Source organism: Homo sapiens, chromosome 7, assembly GCF_000001405.40.
Source record: "Homo sapiens chromosome 7, GRCh38.p14 Primary Assembly".
NCBI classification, from domain to species: domain Eukaryota; kingdom Metazoa; phylum Chordata; class Mammalia; order Primates; family Hominidae; genus Homo; species Homo sapiens.
In genome coordinates this window covers 112626283-112642806 of record NC_000007.14, presented here as the reverse complement: position 1 = coordinate 112642806, position 16524 = coordinate 112626283, and the positions used below count along the sequence as shown (strand labels likewise).

Here is a 16524-nt window from a genome sequence, read left to right as displayed (position 1 = left end):
TATTAAGGACCTCTTCAAGGAGAACTACAAACCACTGCTCAAGGAAATAAGAGAGGACACAAACAAATGGAAAAACATTCCATGCTCACGGATAGGAAGAATCCATGTCGTGATAATGGTCATACTGCCAAAAGTGATTTATAGATTCAGTGCTATTCCCATCAAACTACCATTGACATTCTCCACAGAATTAGAAAAAAACTATTTTAAATTTCATATGGAACCAAAAAAAGAGCCTGCATAGCCTAGACAATCCTAAGCAAAGAGAACAAAGCTGGAGGCATCACGTTACCTGACTTCAAACTATACTACAAGGCTACGGTAACCAAAACAGCATGGTACTGGTACCAAAACACACATATAGACCAATGGAGCAGAACAAAGACCTCAGAAATAACACCACACATCTACAACCATCTGATCTTCAGCAAACCTACCAAAAACAAGCAATGAGGAAAGGATCTCCTATTCAGTAAATGGTGCTGAGAAAACTGGCTAGCCATATGCAGAAAACAAACTGGACCCCTTTTTACACCTTATACAAAAATTAACTCAAGATGGATTAAACACTTAAATGTAAAACACCAAACCATAAAAACCCTCGAACAAAATCTAGGCAATACCATTAAGGACATAGGCACGGGCAAAGACTTCATGACAAAAGTGGGAAAAGAAATTGTGACGAAAGCCAAAATTGAGAAATGGGATCTAATCAAACTAAAAAGCTTCTGCACAGCAAAAGAAACTATCATCAGGGTGGACAGGCAATCTCCAGAATAGGAGAAAATTTTTGCAATCTACCCATCTGACAAAGATCTAATATCTAGAATCTACAAGGAACTTAAACATATTTACAAGAAAAAACAAAAAAAAACCATCAAAAAGTGGGCAAAGGATATGAACAGACAAAAAAAGACATTTACACAGCTAAGATACATAAAAAAATGCTCAACATCGCTGATCATCACAGAAATGCAAATCAAAACCACAATGAGATACCATCTCATGCCAATCAGAATGGTGATTATTAAAAAGTCAGGAAACAATAGATGCTGGAAGCTGTGGAGAAACAGGAATGCTTTTACACTGTTGGTGGGAATGTAAATTACTTCAACCATTGTGGAAGACAGTATGGTGAATTCTTAAGGATCTAGAACCAGAAATACCATTTGACTCAGCAATCCCATTACTGGGTATATACCCAAAGGAATATAAATCATTCTACTATAAAGACACATGAACACATATGTTTATTGCAGCATTATTTACAATACCAAAACATGGAAGCAACCCAAATGCCCATCAGTGATAGACTGGATAAAGAAAATGTGGTACATATACACCATGGAATACTATGCAGCAGTAAAAAGGAATGAGATCATGTCCTTTGCAGGGACATGGATGAAGCTAGAAGCCATTATCCTCAGCAAACTAACACAGGAATAGAAAACTGAACACCATATGTTCTTACTTGTAAGTGGGAGTTGAACATTGAGAACACATGGATGCAGAGAGGGGAACAACACACACCAGGGCTGTTGGGGGGTGGGGGGTGAAGGGAAGGAACTTAGAGAACAGGTCAATAGGTGCAGCAAACCACCATGACACATGTATACTTATGTAACAAACCTGTACATTCTGCACATGTATCCTTTTTTTTTAGAAAAAATAAATTTTAAAAAACCCCACAAATATTGCATTTACGTTTTCATGATCTTTATTTGCATTAAACTGCTCATTTACATCTGTAATAGACTTGATGATGGCCCCTCTTAATATTAAAGTACATATGTGAGAAGGATTTAGTCTGAGACCATAGTTCAAATCATAAATGGCTCTTTTGGTTTCTTTGCATGAATTCCACACAAGAGCTCTAACACAGTGCACACCTTGTAAAACACAAAGGTCATCCAAAAAAACGTAGTTAATCTTTAAGCTTCAAAGAAATGGAATGAAATCAAACAGGGTTGTACTAATTGTACAGCCATGCAGGTTGTGCACTGGAAACCCAGAGGAGCCATTTACATGATTTAAACTTAGACATAACTTTAACCAATCAGTTCTCTGGATTTTAGTGTCCTCATCTGCAAAATGAGAAAGTTGGAATAGTATCTTCCAGGCTTCTCCAGCTATAGAACTACAATTATCTTCTACGCACATTTACAACTATTACCATTAGCTCTGCTTTTCTTTTCAGTAAACTGCGTATATCATTTGATGGAAAGTTGTTAATAATATTAATGCCACATTTTATCAGCCTATTTCTCTGAAAATGAAGTTCTTTTCCATAAGGCAAATTTTATGGAGATGATGTGCAGAAGTGAGTCAGCCATAGAATAAGGTTATTGGTTACAAACATTCTTTAACTTGTTTAAGTCATTCTAAATTTCATTTTGTATCCCATGATACACAATTCCTCCTGACTTAAAAACTAGTCAGAGAGATATACCATGGCACAGACATACATAAAAATAGGGATAAGTAATCACAACATGTAAAAAACAGCAAGCATAATGATAAAGGAAAAAAATCACAGTAGTGCACCATTAATTGTCATTTATTTTGCAATTAAAATGTATCAAACCTACCAGGTTCAGATTGTCCAAAGAAATAGCTTTGTTAGCATCCTTTACTGCTTCTTTCATCTGTCATAAATCAATGCAGAGAATGTCTAGAGTAAGTATATTTTTCCATAGTTTTCCTTTACATTTTATTTCCAAGGGGAAACTAGATAACAAATGCATATAATATTCTAATTAATATTCACCTATGTGGCATGTTCAGAGATAGTTGGAATTCACTTAAAAGTTACCATATATTTATAAAGTGAGAAAAGGTTTTTAAAAATAAAAATGAGCTATTGGGGTGATCTAAAAGCAGTTGATGGTAGTAAGAGACATTTCACCTCAAACTAGACAAGGAGAGTTGGCTTTGGACATAGCTTATATTGGAGATAAAGATCAGCAGATATAAAAGGGCAAAAGATAGAAGAAAGTAGAAGATTAGTCTGTAAAACTGGCTTTAAGAATCTTTTTACTTCTTCAAAGTAATAGAAAATTAATAAAATCCTTGATAAGGCTTTGACAAAGCTTGATAAGATAAAATATAATTCTCTCCCCCTTGAACAATATTTTAACTGTTTGCATAGATTGTTTGGAGATGAAAGTGGAGATTATCAAGGGCTTTTGCTTCCTGCTATTGTATAAGTTATCTATTGCTGAGTAACAAATTACTACAGCACAAAGACCCTAGCCCAGGCTGGGTTCTCATCTGGAAGCTCAACTAGGGAAGGATACATTTCCCTGCTCATGTTGTTATTGGAAGCATTCATTTTCACTTTCTTGTAGCTACAAGGTTCACGAAGGCTTACTTGTTTAAAAATAAAAAGGCAGAGAGAGAGAGAGACAGTATGCTAGTAAGACAGACTAACATAATATAATGAACTCATAGGAGTCATATTCCATCACCTTTGTAACATTTTATTGTTTAGAATCAAGTCAGAGGTTCTGCCTGCACTCAAATGGAGGTGATTACAGAAGGGAGGCTCAGTTAGGGTAGAATCTGCCTGCCTGCTTGTAAATGGTTGTTGGCAGCATTCAGCTTCTTGTGGCTACAGAATGCATGGCAACTTACTTCCTCAAAACCAGCAAGAGGAGAGAGGGAGTGAGTCTGCTACCAACATTGAGTATTGTAGAATGTAGTATAATCATAGGAGTAATATATCATCACCCTTCCATATTCTATTCATTCGAATGCAGTCACTGTTTTTGGCCACACTTACAGAGAGAGAATTACATGTGAACACCAGGAGGCAAGGACCATGGGGGTCACCTTGGATCTTTCACTCTTTCCCAAAAGTCACTAATCGCTTCTATTGGTCCCTCACATCCTATCTTCACACCAAATGAAAGTATTGGAAATCCCCCAAACATGGTACAGACTTTCACATCTCTGAGCCTTTGTACATTCTGTTTCTTCTAACTGAAATGTCATTTGGCCCACTTCTAGTTGTCAGTGCATGTATGTGTTTGTTAAGTTTCTTAATATTCAAGAACAAAAGCCAGCCCTGCCCTCAACCCAGCTGCCTGTCAAAATACTGGGTTCTACTTCTATCAATAATACAGATTCTATTTCAGGTTCTTAGCAGAGCATATAAATTTGGCCTATCCGCAGCAAGAAAAGCTATCTATGGGAGGTTCCAGGAAATATGAAACAGGGTCTGTGATCCTCTAATAATATTTAATTATAGTCTTGACTTAATATTTAATTCCTGATCTTGAATGCAGCCCCTACCATGTTCCCAGTTTAGCTCTCTTCTTTCTAGCTTTAGTTAGAACTGCTTGTGAACATTCAGAGCCCTGCTTCCAGGTCAAGCCTGGACCAGGTCTATAGACTCACCCCTTCCCAGCATCTCCCCACCCAAAACTCCCCATCTATGAAAACCAAAGAGTTGTTTCTTTGGAGGATCACATTAACTTAATCTGCACTCTACACTACTGGATTAATTAAATTATTTACTCACTCAATTAATGTATCTCGACTCTTTACCCTCTGCAGATGCTTGGTATACAGTGATAAACAAGACATGGTCTCTGTTCTGAATGACTCATAATGCAGTAAGGGAGACATATATGAGCAAATAATGGTTATGTGTTTGTCATGTACTACAGAAAATATTTTCATACAAAGGCATGGAATCAAGCAAAGGCCTCCTGGAATTAAGGAAAGAAAACAATGGGCTGTGTCTAGGTATGAAGTGCATGAGGAAGAGGTGAAAAATAGAAATACAAGAGTTAAAAATTGGGTGACCACTGACCAATATGTTTTTTTAAAAGATAACTTTTGGGGGGACAACAGTCACAAGATCCTCAGAGTGTGATAAAGACTGCTACAGTTAAGTGACTCAGATTTATTGACAAGGCTTAGGAGAGTTAGTCCCAGACATGAGAAAAAATTTACCATTAAGCACTAGATGAATTCTAAGATTACACCAGATTACAACAGCTAACTGTTGAAGTTTGGCATCATTCACTCAAAGTGTATATGTGATTTTAAAAACTTTACAAAGGATGTTTATGAGTAATAATTAGAGATTTTTTTTAAAATTAGAGTTGTGAAGAAAAATTGACTGTATTTCCTATTATCTCCATTTACACTCAAGGCAAATACATAGGTAGCTTGCTAAGTCACAGTTTAAGACATCACCTTTTATTTGGAGAAAAATATATGGATTACAGAAGCAATGACTAAGAAGAAACATTCAGGCACCCTTCAATTTCCAAACACATGAAGATACGCTAAATTTTACAAAACTAAGACCATAGTTTAAATCTGAAAGAGTAATGTAAAAAGTGAGCATTAATCATTTTTATGTTAAAAGTATACAAAAGGGCAGTAAAGAACCTTTATTCAAATAAAATACTGCATCATTCATGAAACAGTATGAAAACCATGACTATGATAGAAAAGGAGTACGTTTGGGAGTATGACAAGGATTTTTTGAATAATAATGTCTGTACTTAATAGCTATGTGATTTTAGACAAGTTACTGAACCACTTTAAAAAAGGTTTACTTATTTTTTCTCCAATGTTTTCATTGTAGTAAAATATACAGAACAAAATTTAGTGTCTTAACCATGTTTAAGTGTAGAGTTCAGTGGTATTAAATACATTGATAATGTTGTAACAAAAAGAAAAAAAAAGGAAAATTGGACTTTATCCTGCAGACGGTAAAGAGCCACCAAAGATTTTTTAATATAAAAGCTAAAAAATATGCATATTATTTTTTTGAGACAGAGCCTCCCTCTGTCACCCAGGCTGGAGTGCAGTGATGTGATCTCAACTCACTGCAACCTCCACCTCCCAGGTTCAAGTGATTCTCCTGCCTCAGCCTCCCGAGTAGCAGGATTACAGGCGCACACCACCACGCCTGGCTAATTTTTGTATTTTTGGTGGAGATGGAGTTTCACCATGTTGGCAAGGCTGGTTTTGAACTCCTGACCTCAAGTGATCTGCCCACCTCAGCCTCCCAAAGTGCTGGGATTACAGGTGTGAGCCACCGTGCCCAGCTGAAAGCTAAATATTTTTAAATATTGTTTGAAGAAGATAACTCTGGAAGAAGCTATCAAAAAGCTAATATAATATTTCAAGTGTAGAAATAGAGACTCAACTCAAGAAGCACTATAGAGGTTCAGGTGATAAAAGCTGACAGTCTCTGAATGAAGGAGAGAGAGGAGTCTGGAATAACTTTGAGGTGTTTCTCTTAGGAAAATGTTTGGAATTCAGAAACATTAATTAAGATGGGGAACAGAAAAAGAGATGCAGGCTTAGGAAGAAAAGCTCAGAAATGTAGAATCTTACATAAAATTGGATGTAGTTTGAGCTCAAGCTATTTGCATTATTCTCTGCTTAACCTACAGAACTGGATGTCTCTCCAAGTTAGGTTTTAGAAAATCTAGGAGGTGAACGATAGAAAGTGATTTCCATCTATCTTTCAAGGCATGAAAGCCTTAGATTTAGGTACATCTATCTTGGCACACATAGCATGGCTTTCCTAAGTAGTGAAAAATCAGTGACCTTTCCATATAAACATGTATTCTGCATTTGCACCTCTGGGTTGAATTGTCTCCGAGGCATATGAAGATGCTGTCTCAGTGCATTTTTTAAATCCCAGTGCTTTAGTCAGGCTGATTGCTTGTGAGTTGTGAATGTATAAAAACATCTGAGTATAGGAAGCATTTGCCATTTCAAAATAATAGCTCTTTGTTAACTACTGCTTATGTATAGTAAGAGTAAGGTCTTTAAGGCAACTTACTTTCATGGAGGAACAGGTTTGTTAGCTTGAAAATTATCAGCCCAGTTCAAAGAGAAATGATGCAACTTACCACATACTGCATGTGAATATGCCATTCTTGAAAACATTGGTGTGTGAAAGAAAATTTCATATTTACAGCCAACATTACAGCCATTCTGGAATTAAGGAAATAGCAATAATACATTATCAATTACATTTTCATTGTTAAATCATTATAACAACATTGAAGAATATATATGGAAAGTAAAAAAAAAAAATCTGTAATCCCACTATCTTTAAATAACTTACAAACCTTTGAAATGTTTCCTTTCAGTCTTCTCTACATAATTGTATGTAATGACAATAGCCTGCATTCTATTTCATATGCTCATTTTCCACTTAAGATTCTAATTAAGGCATTTCTATGTTGCTATGTGATTTTTATTATTATCATTTCTATCAGTTGCATAATTGACTACCACAGAGGTCCACCCTAATTTACCTAATATGATTTTATCAATTTGTTAGATTTTTTCTTCCAATATTTTTCCTGTTGTAGGCAATATTGCAATGAACATCTTTCCCAACAAGGGTTTTCTCTTATTTTACTTTACTTTTAAAAAACAAATTTCTATAAATTGACTTACTAATTATAATAGCATAAGCCTTTTCATGGCTCTTGGTTCATATTGCCAGATTGCTTTTCAAGAGGGTTGCATCAATTTGTCTTCCCACCTGCGAGATATGAAAGCACCATTTTCATGACATTTTCGAGATCATATCCTTTAATTAATTTGAATGTAAAAATAAGTTATTTTGTCTTAATTTACATTCTATGATTACTAGCAACCACAAACATTTTTACTGTTTCCTTAATAGTTCTATTTTTTATTCTTTGATGAAATTGTATTTATGTGTTTGCCAATTATACTGGGATACTGCTTTTTTCCTTATAACTAAATGTACTCTTTGTATGTAATCTTTAGCTCAGATTATACATACTAAAATCTTTTTCTTTGTCTGCTATTTTCTTAATGGTATAATTTTTTAAAGAAATTTAATAATTAACTAGAACTGTTATATATAAAAATTCTTCCCAACAAATCTAATAATATTTTTATACCATAATGGTATTTGCATAATTGGTTCTTTATTCTAAATCAGCACCCTTATTTGTGTTGACAGGACTCTACAAGATTACTCCCAGGACTTTTGCTATTCCTTTAGGGCTGACTTATGCCATCATTCCAAATGTGTTTCCTATAATTGCACTCAGTTCTTAAAAACAACATGAAAACCCAAGTGGCTATAAAAGGAGCTGTAACATTAGTTACACATTAATGTACATTAATTCATATCCTTAGAGATTATAATTTTTAAAACACATTCCATAGACACAAAATTATATTGAACAGCAAATATACTCTCAAAACACAAATACATCAAAAAGAAACCTTTATAAAAATGAAAAATTAGCATTTATTTCAGGTTTAACCACCAGTGGATGTATTTTCAACATCTGTCCATTTGTACAAGTGTGATCAGTACCCAGAGGAAACAACACAACTACCAGGCAAAATGAGAAGATCACAGATCGTAGAATCAGAAAACCTGAGTTCGAATCCAAGCTTTGCCAATTGGCAGCAACTGAGTGAACTTAACCCCATTAAACCACATCTGTTTTCTCATCTACAAAATATAATAATGGCTTTGCCTATGCTCAGCACAGGGAGCTTTGCATACGTCATTCCACATTCTTGCATTGTCACTATAAGGCAAGAATTACAGCTTCCATTTTACAAGGAGAGCTCCTCTGTCCTCATTATTGGAATCATCTCCCCCTACACACCACACTTCTTTCCCTCATATTTGTTGAATAAATAATCTATAGTAACTGCTACTAACCTAGCTTTCTTATATCATTTTTCTAAGCTATTTATAATTTCTTTAAAGTTATTTTTATGGGCAAACACATATTCTAAGTGACGACAGACCCGTTTATTTTTTCATTTGTTATTTAATTGGTAAATGAGAGAACACTTTGATTGGTAAAACTTTAGCAATATGCTTGAATTCCTCCATACATTTTTAAAAATGTTATCTCTTTTAAGCTAGACTGTCAAATCCACTCTATTTTGAGATTAAACATTAAAATATTGAGACATCAGATTATGCATTCAGTATAACCTTGAGGCATCATGCTGAGTCTCTGGTGAAATCCCCTAAGCTGGACATTAGTCCAGATTAGCATGAATCTATAGATTCATTCTTTCATTGAAAAAGCCTTCAAATCCAATTTGTGCATTGTCTTGTAAAAATTTACCAAAATGGGCAACACATTTTGATCTTATGAAGTCAGGTGGGGGAAAGAGATGTAAAAAAAAAAAATTTCTCATGTGGTCAAGTAGAAATGACAGCTTTGGAAAGAAAGAAAGCAAAGTCATTTTTCTAGCTTCCCCACTTATCAGCTGTGTGACTTTTAATAAAATATTTAGTCCCACTAAGCCTCAGTTTCCTTCCACATTTGTAAGTGGCAATAATATTATTTACCTTGTGAGGCTGTGAGAATTGAACACTATCAGCATGTAAAGCGTCCAGCACAATTACTTACCTAATGGAGAATCTCAATAAATTAGCTCCTTCCCTCCATTCCTTTCATAACTAAGGTAGTATGATGATTTCAGAGGGCTGAGGTTGAATCCTATCTCCCACATGACCTTGGGCACATTATATAAGTACTCTGAGCCCACTAAATGATCGGTAATCAGTTACTGGGGATAGTGCCAGGCTCCTAGGTTTTTCACTAAGTGAGAGCATTTATGTGCAGTTCTTAGCATTCTGCCTGACACATGCTAAGTGCTCAGACAGAAAGCTTATTATTAGTAATAATAAAAACTATGTAAGTAAAATGACATTGAAGAACAGTCAGAAGGGCTAATTTCTCCCTAAGCTGATTCTGTTAGACACAAAATTTAATGGCAAAGAGAAAGTAAAATTCAATTTTTATCAAGAGTCTCTTTCACTTACATATTTGAGAGTGCTGTCATAGCTTTACAAAATGCAGAAGGCGCTGTGGGTAGTGGGATTTGTACTTCTTTTACTTTCCCTATTTTCAACAATGAGTACATATGATCTCTACAATCAGAAAAGGGTTAAAAAAGAAAAGCAGAAAGCAGCAAAAAAAATTCAGAAAAAAATGGGTTGTGGTACTGCCTGATATAAACCAAGCAATGCATTGTGTTTTCTAGGCTGGTGTATTTACATGCTATACATAGTCACACACTGCCCTGGAATCATCCTACCACTTGCACATTTTTGAAAATTCAAATCAATAGCTCCCAGGTTTACCTTTATTACAGAAGCAGTTCTTGCAACACTGGTTAATTGCTGTGTGGCTTTCTTGTGGAGATTCAGGTTTTGGAGAGGTAATGCTAGATGAAAATGAGTTGCATAGAGCTGAAAAATAAAAACAGTGTCAAAGTACTTAAGCTTTTTTTTGTCTGTTTTTTTGGCTCTTAAGTAACAAGCTTTTGGCTAAGTTTAAACTGTAAAATAGAAGTTTTTTCTACCACTTTAGTAAGGTCGCTGATGAAGTTGAGTAAGTTGCCTTATTTCCCCACTGCCATTAAGAATGGACCGGTCCAAAGACACAGACTGCAATCTATGAGCACATGATTCTATGATCACACTCTATATATGGGTCCTTGTATAGGACAGTCCAAACTCTCACTAGTCTAGATGTTTAGTAGTTTGAAATGGCAGGCACACGTTTTTATATTATAAAAGAATACAGCTCACAGTTCTCTCTAGAAACGATGACACATCCTATGGGTTCCTGGATACGGTGAAATTTTTGGTTGGTCAGCTTACTTTCCTAAACATATTAGAGCAAATCTTCTGCCCAATGAATAAAAAGATGCATCAGCAGCCAAAAAGGCAGCATAGGTAGAAAATCACAGATGTGACTCCAGCAGCCTATGCTATGGTAATATGCTAAACTGCACAGAAATTACACAGGAATTCATAAAATCCCAACCACCATTATTTTCAGTATTTTCCAATGTTACAAGTTATATGTCACAATTTTAAAGTCTTTAAAGAAAAAACTATGTATTTTGTTCTGACACTACTGATCCTAACTATTACCCATTACATTTAAAAGAGGCATCAAGGCACCTAAAGTGTGGGACCAGACAAATTGGGCATAGCTCAGTTTTCTGATTCAACAATTAAGGATTTTTAAAAACTTCTTTACTGGTCCAGGATATCCCTCCATGATGCAGTATTGGATCCGCAAGGTGAGATATATGAAAGTCAGAAGGGGGCATAAGGCTTTTAGTTGAACGTACCTGCTGTTTCAAAGCCACATTGAGATACATGAGAGCAGGGGCCTGGTTTCACATCAGACCTCCAGGCCCATCTCAAGAGCCTTCAGTAGTAGAAGTCACTCAACCACTCTGAAATTCAGTTTCCCCATAAATAAAATGAAATAAACCAGGATGAACTCTTGAGGTCCTTCTCATTTTTAACGATCTGTGGTTCTCTGACTTTGCCAGTACCCAAGTTCTGGCCAGATTTCTGGGATTTGGCCCAGAAATATTTGGATAAATAATAATAATAATTTATTCCTTCTATCTACCAAAAACAAATAAATAACGAAACACCAGACATGAAAAAAATTATAAACAAGACAAAATAGAGTGTAGTACTATCTCCTGTTATTTATATTTAATATTTGTAATAGTTTGTGGTGGAGGTTGTCAATAACCACCTTTTCTCCAGATTGATTTCTTCTTGCTCATCACCCTCCTCCATTTCTCTGAAGGACACAACCCTCTTTGTATTATGTTAATTTTGGGGGAAAGTCTTTTCTAGCTGGGATTTCAGCCCTTCTCTCATTCTTCTCCTACCTTTATGATTGTCTCTCTGACCTGAGCTTCTCTTCTTTTTCCCCCACCTTAACTTCATATTTACCATAAAGTTCAGCCCCATCTTTTCTGCTTTTCTTTCTGTGCATTCACTTGCTTGGAGAAATCACACTTTCTCATCTAATAGCCAACCTTTTCTATGTCAAAGATTCTCCAACTCATACCCACAGTGCAAGTTTCTTTCCTAACATATGTCCAACTATTATATAAATATTTACATATCCTGACATCACATCATTCTAACATGTCCAAAACAAATTCATCATTTCCTTTCCTTCTCCACTTGCCAAGAAAAATCCAGGCTAAGTCCTATCTCCAGTTTTTTCATCTTCATTCACAACACTGATCTTCTCTCAAGAAACTAGCCTCAAAAACTTTGGACATTTCTTTGTATTTTGCTGTGGTTAAGGAGGAGTCAAATTGCTTAGGTTCAAATCATAAGCTAGTCATCTACTAGCTTTGCGATCTGGCAACTTATTCAACTTCTCTGTCTCAGTTACATTTGTAAACATGAGGGTGATAATGATATTTACCTCATAAGTGCAAACTGTTAATATATTGTGAAGTGTTTAGCACAGTGTTTGTCATAAGCTAAGTGTCGAGTAAATAATAGCTAACCAGGTAAGCAAAACAAAAAACAAACAAAAAACCACCAACGTATGGTTAACTTAAGGAAAAGCCATAAGGAAATATAATAATGATACACTACATGTGGTTCATAATAATTGTGTCATGATGATATAAACACTGAATATGGACTTAACCAAAAGTTGTGAAATAGCAGGATAAAAAGAATGGAGGAGGGGAAGCATCTATGCAGTTGGGAGTGTGTATGCGTGTGTGTATGTGTGTGACATTCTGTGTCTGAGAGAGATGATATAAGAATGCTAAATCATCATCTCCCAGGATAGAAAGCTAATATGTAATACTTATAACAAAAAGGCCAGGAAGTAGCAATAAACATAAGTTATTGAGAAATACAGGGGTAAGAACTAACAGAAAACAGACTAGAAGCAGGAATCAGGGGGATGGGGTATATCTGAGGGCTACTCTTTTTCCTTAAAACACTATGTTTATATATTACTCAGATAAAAATAAAAATTTAAAAAGTAATTCATTATATCATGGAATGTGTGTTTAGAGGTCATATAAATCCCAGGAAAAATGCTGACACATAAAAAACCTATTAGTTCTACTTTTTTTTTTTTTTGAGACAGAGTCTCGCTCTGTCGCCCAGGCTGGAGTGCAGTGGCGCAATCTCGGTTCACTGCAAGCTCCACCTCCCAGGTTCACGCCATTCTCCCGCCTCAGCCTCCCAAGCAGCTGGGACTACAGGCACCCGCCACCAGGCCCAGTTAATTTTTTTTTTTTTTTTTTTTTTTGTATTTTTAGTAGAGACCGGGTTTCACCGTGTTAGCCAAGATGGTCTCAATCTCCTGACCTCGTGATCTGGCCGCCTCGGCCTTCCAAAGTGCTGGGATTACAGGCGTGAGCCACCACGCCCAGCCTATTTCTACGTTTTAATTGCCCACACTATAACTTATAGTCCATGATAAAACTGATTTTTAAAATGCTTAGAGAAATTTATGATAAATTTATAACCAAAGCTAAGAAAGGTAGGAATGCCTGAGTAACAGCTTAGTCTGGGGGGTATCATGAAATGCAACCATGACCCCTGAAAAATATTATTTATCGCTGTCAGGAACAGAAAACCAGGTTGCAAGACTCTAAATCTGACCTACAATTTAACAAGCAGGGTTTCTTCAAGTGTGAATATTTATTCAAATGGTGGTCAGGCCCAAGATGGGTTTGGTAATACTATTTAAAATAATTTTGGCTAACAATCTCTTCCATTAAAGCATAACACCATTTTTTCTGCCTTATATCTCCATCAGGTATCAGTGCCACCAACATACTTGGAACAGTATTTATAAGAACAAATTATTTGCAAAGTGAATTACATTTCACTAATTAAAACTATAGCTTCAGCACAGTTAAAAAATCCTCTAAATATGTGCTGCTTCATAAATGTAGACAGGTTTGTTATTCTTTCCTAAAAAAGTGAAATCAATAAAATTGATGATATTTTATAAAGGTAAGGAAATTCAAAACCTCCAATTAATAAGTATTAGTAATTAATGGTTTAGAAGATGATTTGTTAAAATTACTTAAACCCAATTTGATAGTAGTAGGAGCAGAAGGGTCTTAACTTGAGAATGCCTCAGGGCTAATTTCTGCTTTAAGGCACAGTTGGTTCCGGTGAGCTTTTGAATATCAGTCATATATCAGAACCATGAAAACCCCACTCTGCTGTGGAGCTCAGAATGGGTGGGGTGGCTTTCTGAGGAGGATGTGAATCACTAAGATGCTAAGGGAAGTGCTGATTGGTAAAACAAAGGGTATCATCGCAGAAGATACTAAGGACCAGCTCTCAAAGTATACATTTAAGCACTTGTAGCTTTGCTCCTATATCTGTCATATATTTAAGAGGAAAAAATAAGTTAATCAAGGAACTATAGCATCCTAATATGTGAATACATAAAAATTACCTGAACCAAAAAAAAAAGTGAGTGCTTCTGCAATCAATGCTCTAGTGCCCCACAAGAAAGCCAACAGGCTATGGCAGGACTCCTTTTCACACTCAGGTTTCCAGGCATGCTGACAAGCATGTTTCTGGAGACTGCCACAAAAGAAATTTGTTTTCTCAGATGTTTCCTGCCCCTAGTCCAAGAAATTAGGCTATGAGCCGAGCACGGTGGCTCATGCCTGTAATCCCAGCACTTTGGGAGGCCGAGGCAGGCGGATCACGAAGTCAGGAGATCGAGACCATCCTGGCTAACACAGTGAAACTCTATCTCTACTAAAAATACAAAAAATTAGCCGGGCATGGTGATGGGCGCCTGTAGTCCCAGCTACTCAGGAGGCTGAGGCAGGAGAATGGCATGACCTCAGGAGGCGGAGCTTGCAGTGAGCCGAGATCGTGCCAGTACACTCCAGCCTGGGCGACAGAGCGAGACTCTGTCAAAAAAAAAAAAAAAAAAAGAAATTAGGCTATGAAGTATCACAGTCAATTAAGAAATTTTTACATATTGCTGCATTGTCTAAAAGTCACACCATCTTGGTTCCTCATTCTTGCCCTTCTCAGTCAGTGAAACAGTATTAAAAAACTTCAAATTTGCTTCTGTGATCCCCACATTAAAATCTGCATTTGTTCAACCATTGTGGAAAGCAGTGTGGTGATTCCTCAAAGAACTAAAAACAGAACTACCATTTGACCCAGCAATACCTTTATTGGGTATATGCCCAGAGGAATATAAATCATTCTACCATAAAGACACATGGATGCGTGTGTTCTTTGCAGCACTATTCACAATAGCAAAGACATGGAATCAACCTAAATGTCCATCAGCAGTAGACTGAATAAAGAAAATGTGGTGCATATATACCATGAATACTATGCAGCCATAAAAAAGAATGAGATTAGGTCATTTGCAGAAGCATGGATGGAGCTGGAGGCCATTATCCTTGGCAAACTAACACAGAAACAGAAAACCAAATATCACATATTTTCACTTATAAGTCAGAGCTAAATAATGAGAACACATGGACAGATAGAAAGGAACAACAGACACTGGGACCTACTTGAGAGTGGAGGGTGGGAGGAGGGAGAGGTTCTGATATGGTTTGTTTCTGTGTCCCCACCCAAATCTCACCATAAATTGTAATAATCCCCATATGTCACGGGCAGGACCAGGTAGAGATAATTGAATCATGAGGGCAGTTTCCCCCATACCATTCTTGTGATAGTGAGTGAGTTCTCATGAGATCTGATGGTTTTACAAGGGGCTTCCCCTTTCCCTTGGTTCTAACTTCTCTTGCCTGCCACCATGTAAGATGTGCCTGTTTCACCTTCCACCATGATTGTTTCCTGAAGCCTCCCTAGCCATGTAGAACTGTGAGTCAATTAAACCTCTTTTCTTTATAAGTTACCCAGTCTCGGGTATGTCTTCATAGCAGCATAAAAATGGACTAATACAGGTTCAGGATAAATAACTGTTGGGTACTAGGCTTAGTATCTGGGTGACAAAATAATCTGTACACTAGATCCCCAGGTCACGAGTTCACCTATATAGCAAACCTGTATATGTACCCCTGAATGTAAAATAAAAGTTAAAATATTTTTAAAATTAAGATAAAATCTGCATTTGTTTTAAACTCAGGCTCAGCTCTAAGGCTATCAAGGTTTAAAAGAAAGAAATTCATTAACAAAGTGATGCATTCATACTTAACTCTCCAACTTTACTGCTCATTGAAATCACCTGGGGAGCTTTTAAAAATGCACATTGTGGGCTGGGCATGGTGGTTCACCCCTGTAATCCCAGCACTCTGGGAGGCCAAGGTGGGTGGATCACCTGAGGTCAGGAGTTTGAGACCAGCCTGGCCAACATGGCGAAACCCCGTCTCTACTAAAAAATACAAAAATAAGCTGGGCGTGGTGGCATGTGCCTGTAATCCCAGCTACTCAGGAGGCTGAGGCTGGAGAATCGCTGGAACCCGGGAGGTGGAGGTTGCAGTAAGCCGAGATCGCACCACTGCACTCCAGCCTGGGTGACAGAGTGAGACTCCATCTCAAAAAAAAAAAAAAAAAAAAAAAAAAGCACATTGTGGATCATACCTCCAGAGATTCTGAAGTACAGCCTGGGCATCTGAACTTATGTATACTCCCCAGGTAAGTCTAACGTGCAGCCCCTGATGAGAAGTGCTGCTCTGGAGAAACAGTGCTCTCAACACTACGAAGTTGAC

General features: G+C 36.7%; 1 long non-coding RNA gene across 1 annotated transcript in view; it reads right to left on the bottom strand.

The window, feature by feature from the left end:
• Nucleotides 1–16524, bottom strand: part of LOC101928012 (uncharacterized) — an 85692-nt gene that overhangs the window by 65266 nt on the left and 3902 nt on the right. The window contains exons 2-5 of the long non-coding RNA NR_110158.1: nucleotides 10142–10249; nucleotides 7441–7528; nucleotides 6885–6969; nucleotides 2589–2645 (exon numbers count right to left, since the gene is read on the bottom strand). This is a non-coding gene — a long non-coding RNA (uncharacterized LOC101928012). The remainder of the gene's footprint in view (nucleotides 1–2588; nucleotides 2646–6884; nucleotides 6970–7440; nucleotides 7529–10141; nucleotides 10250–16524) is intronic.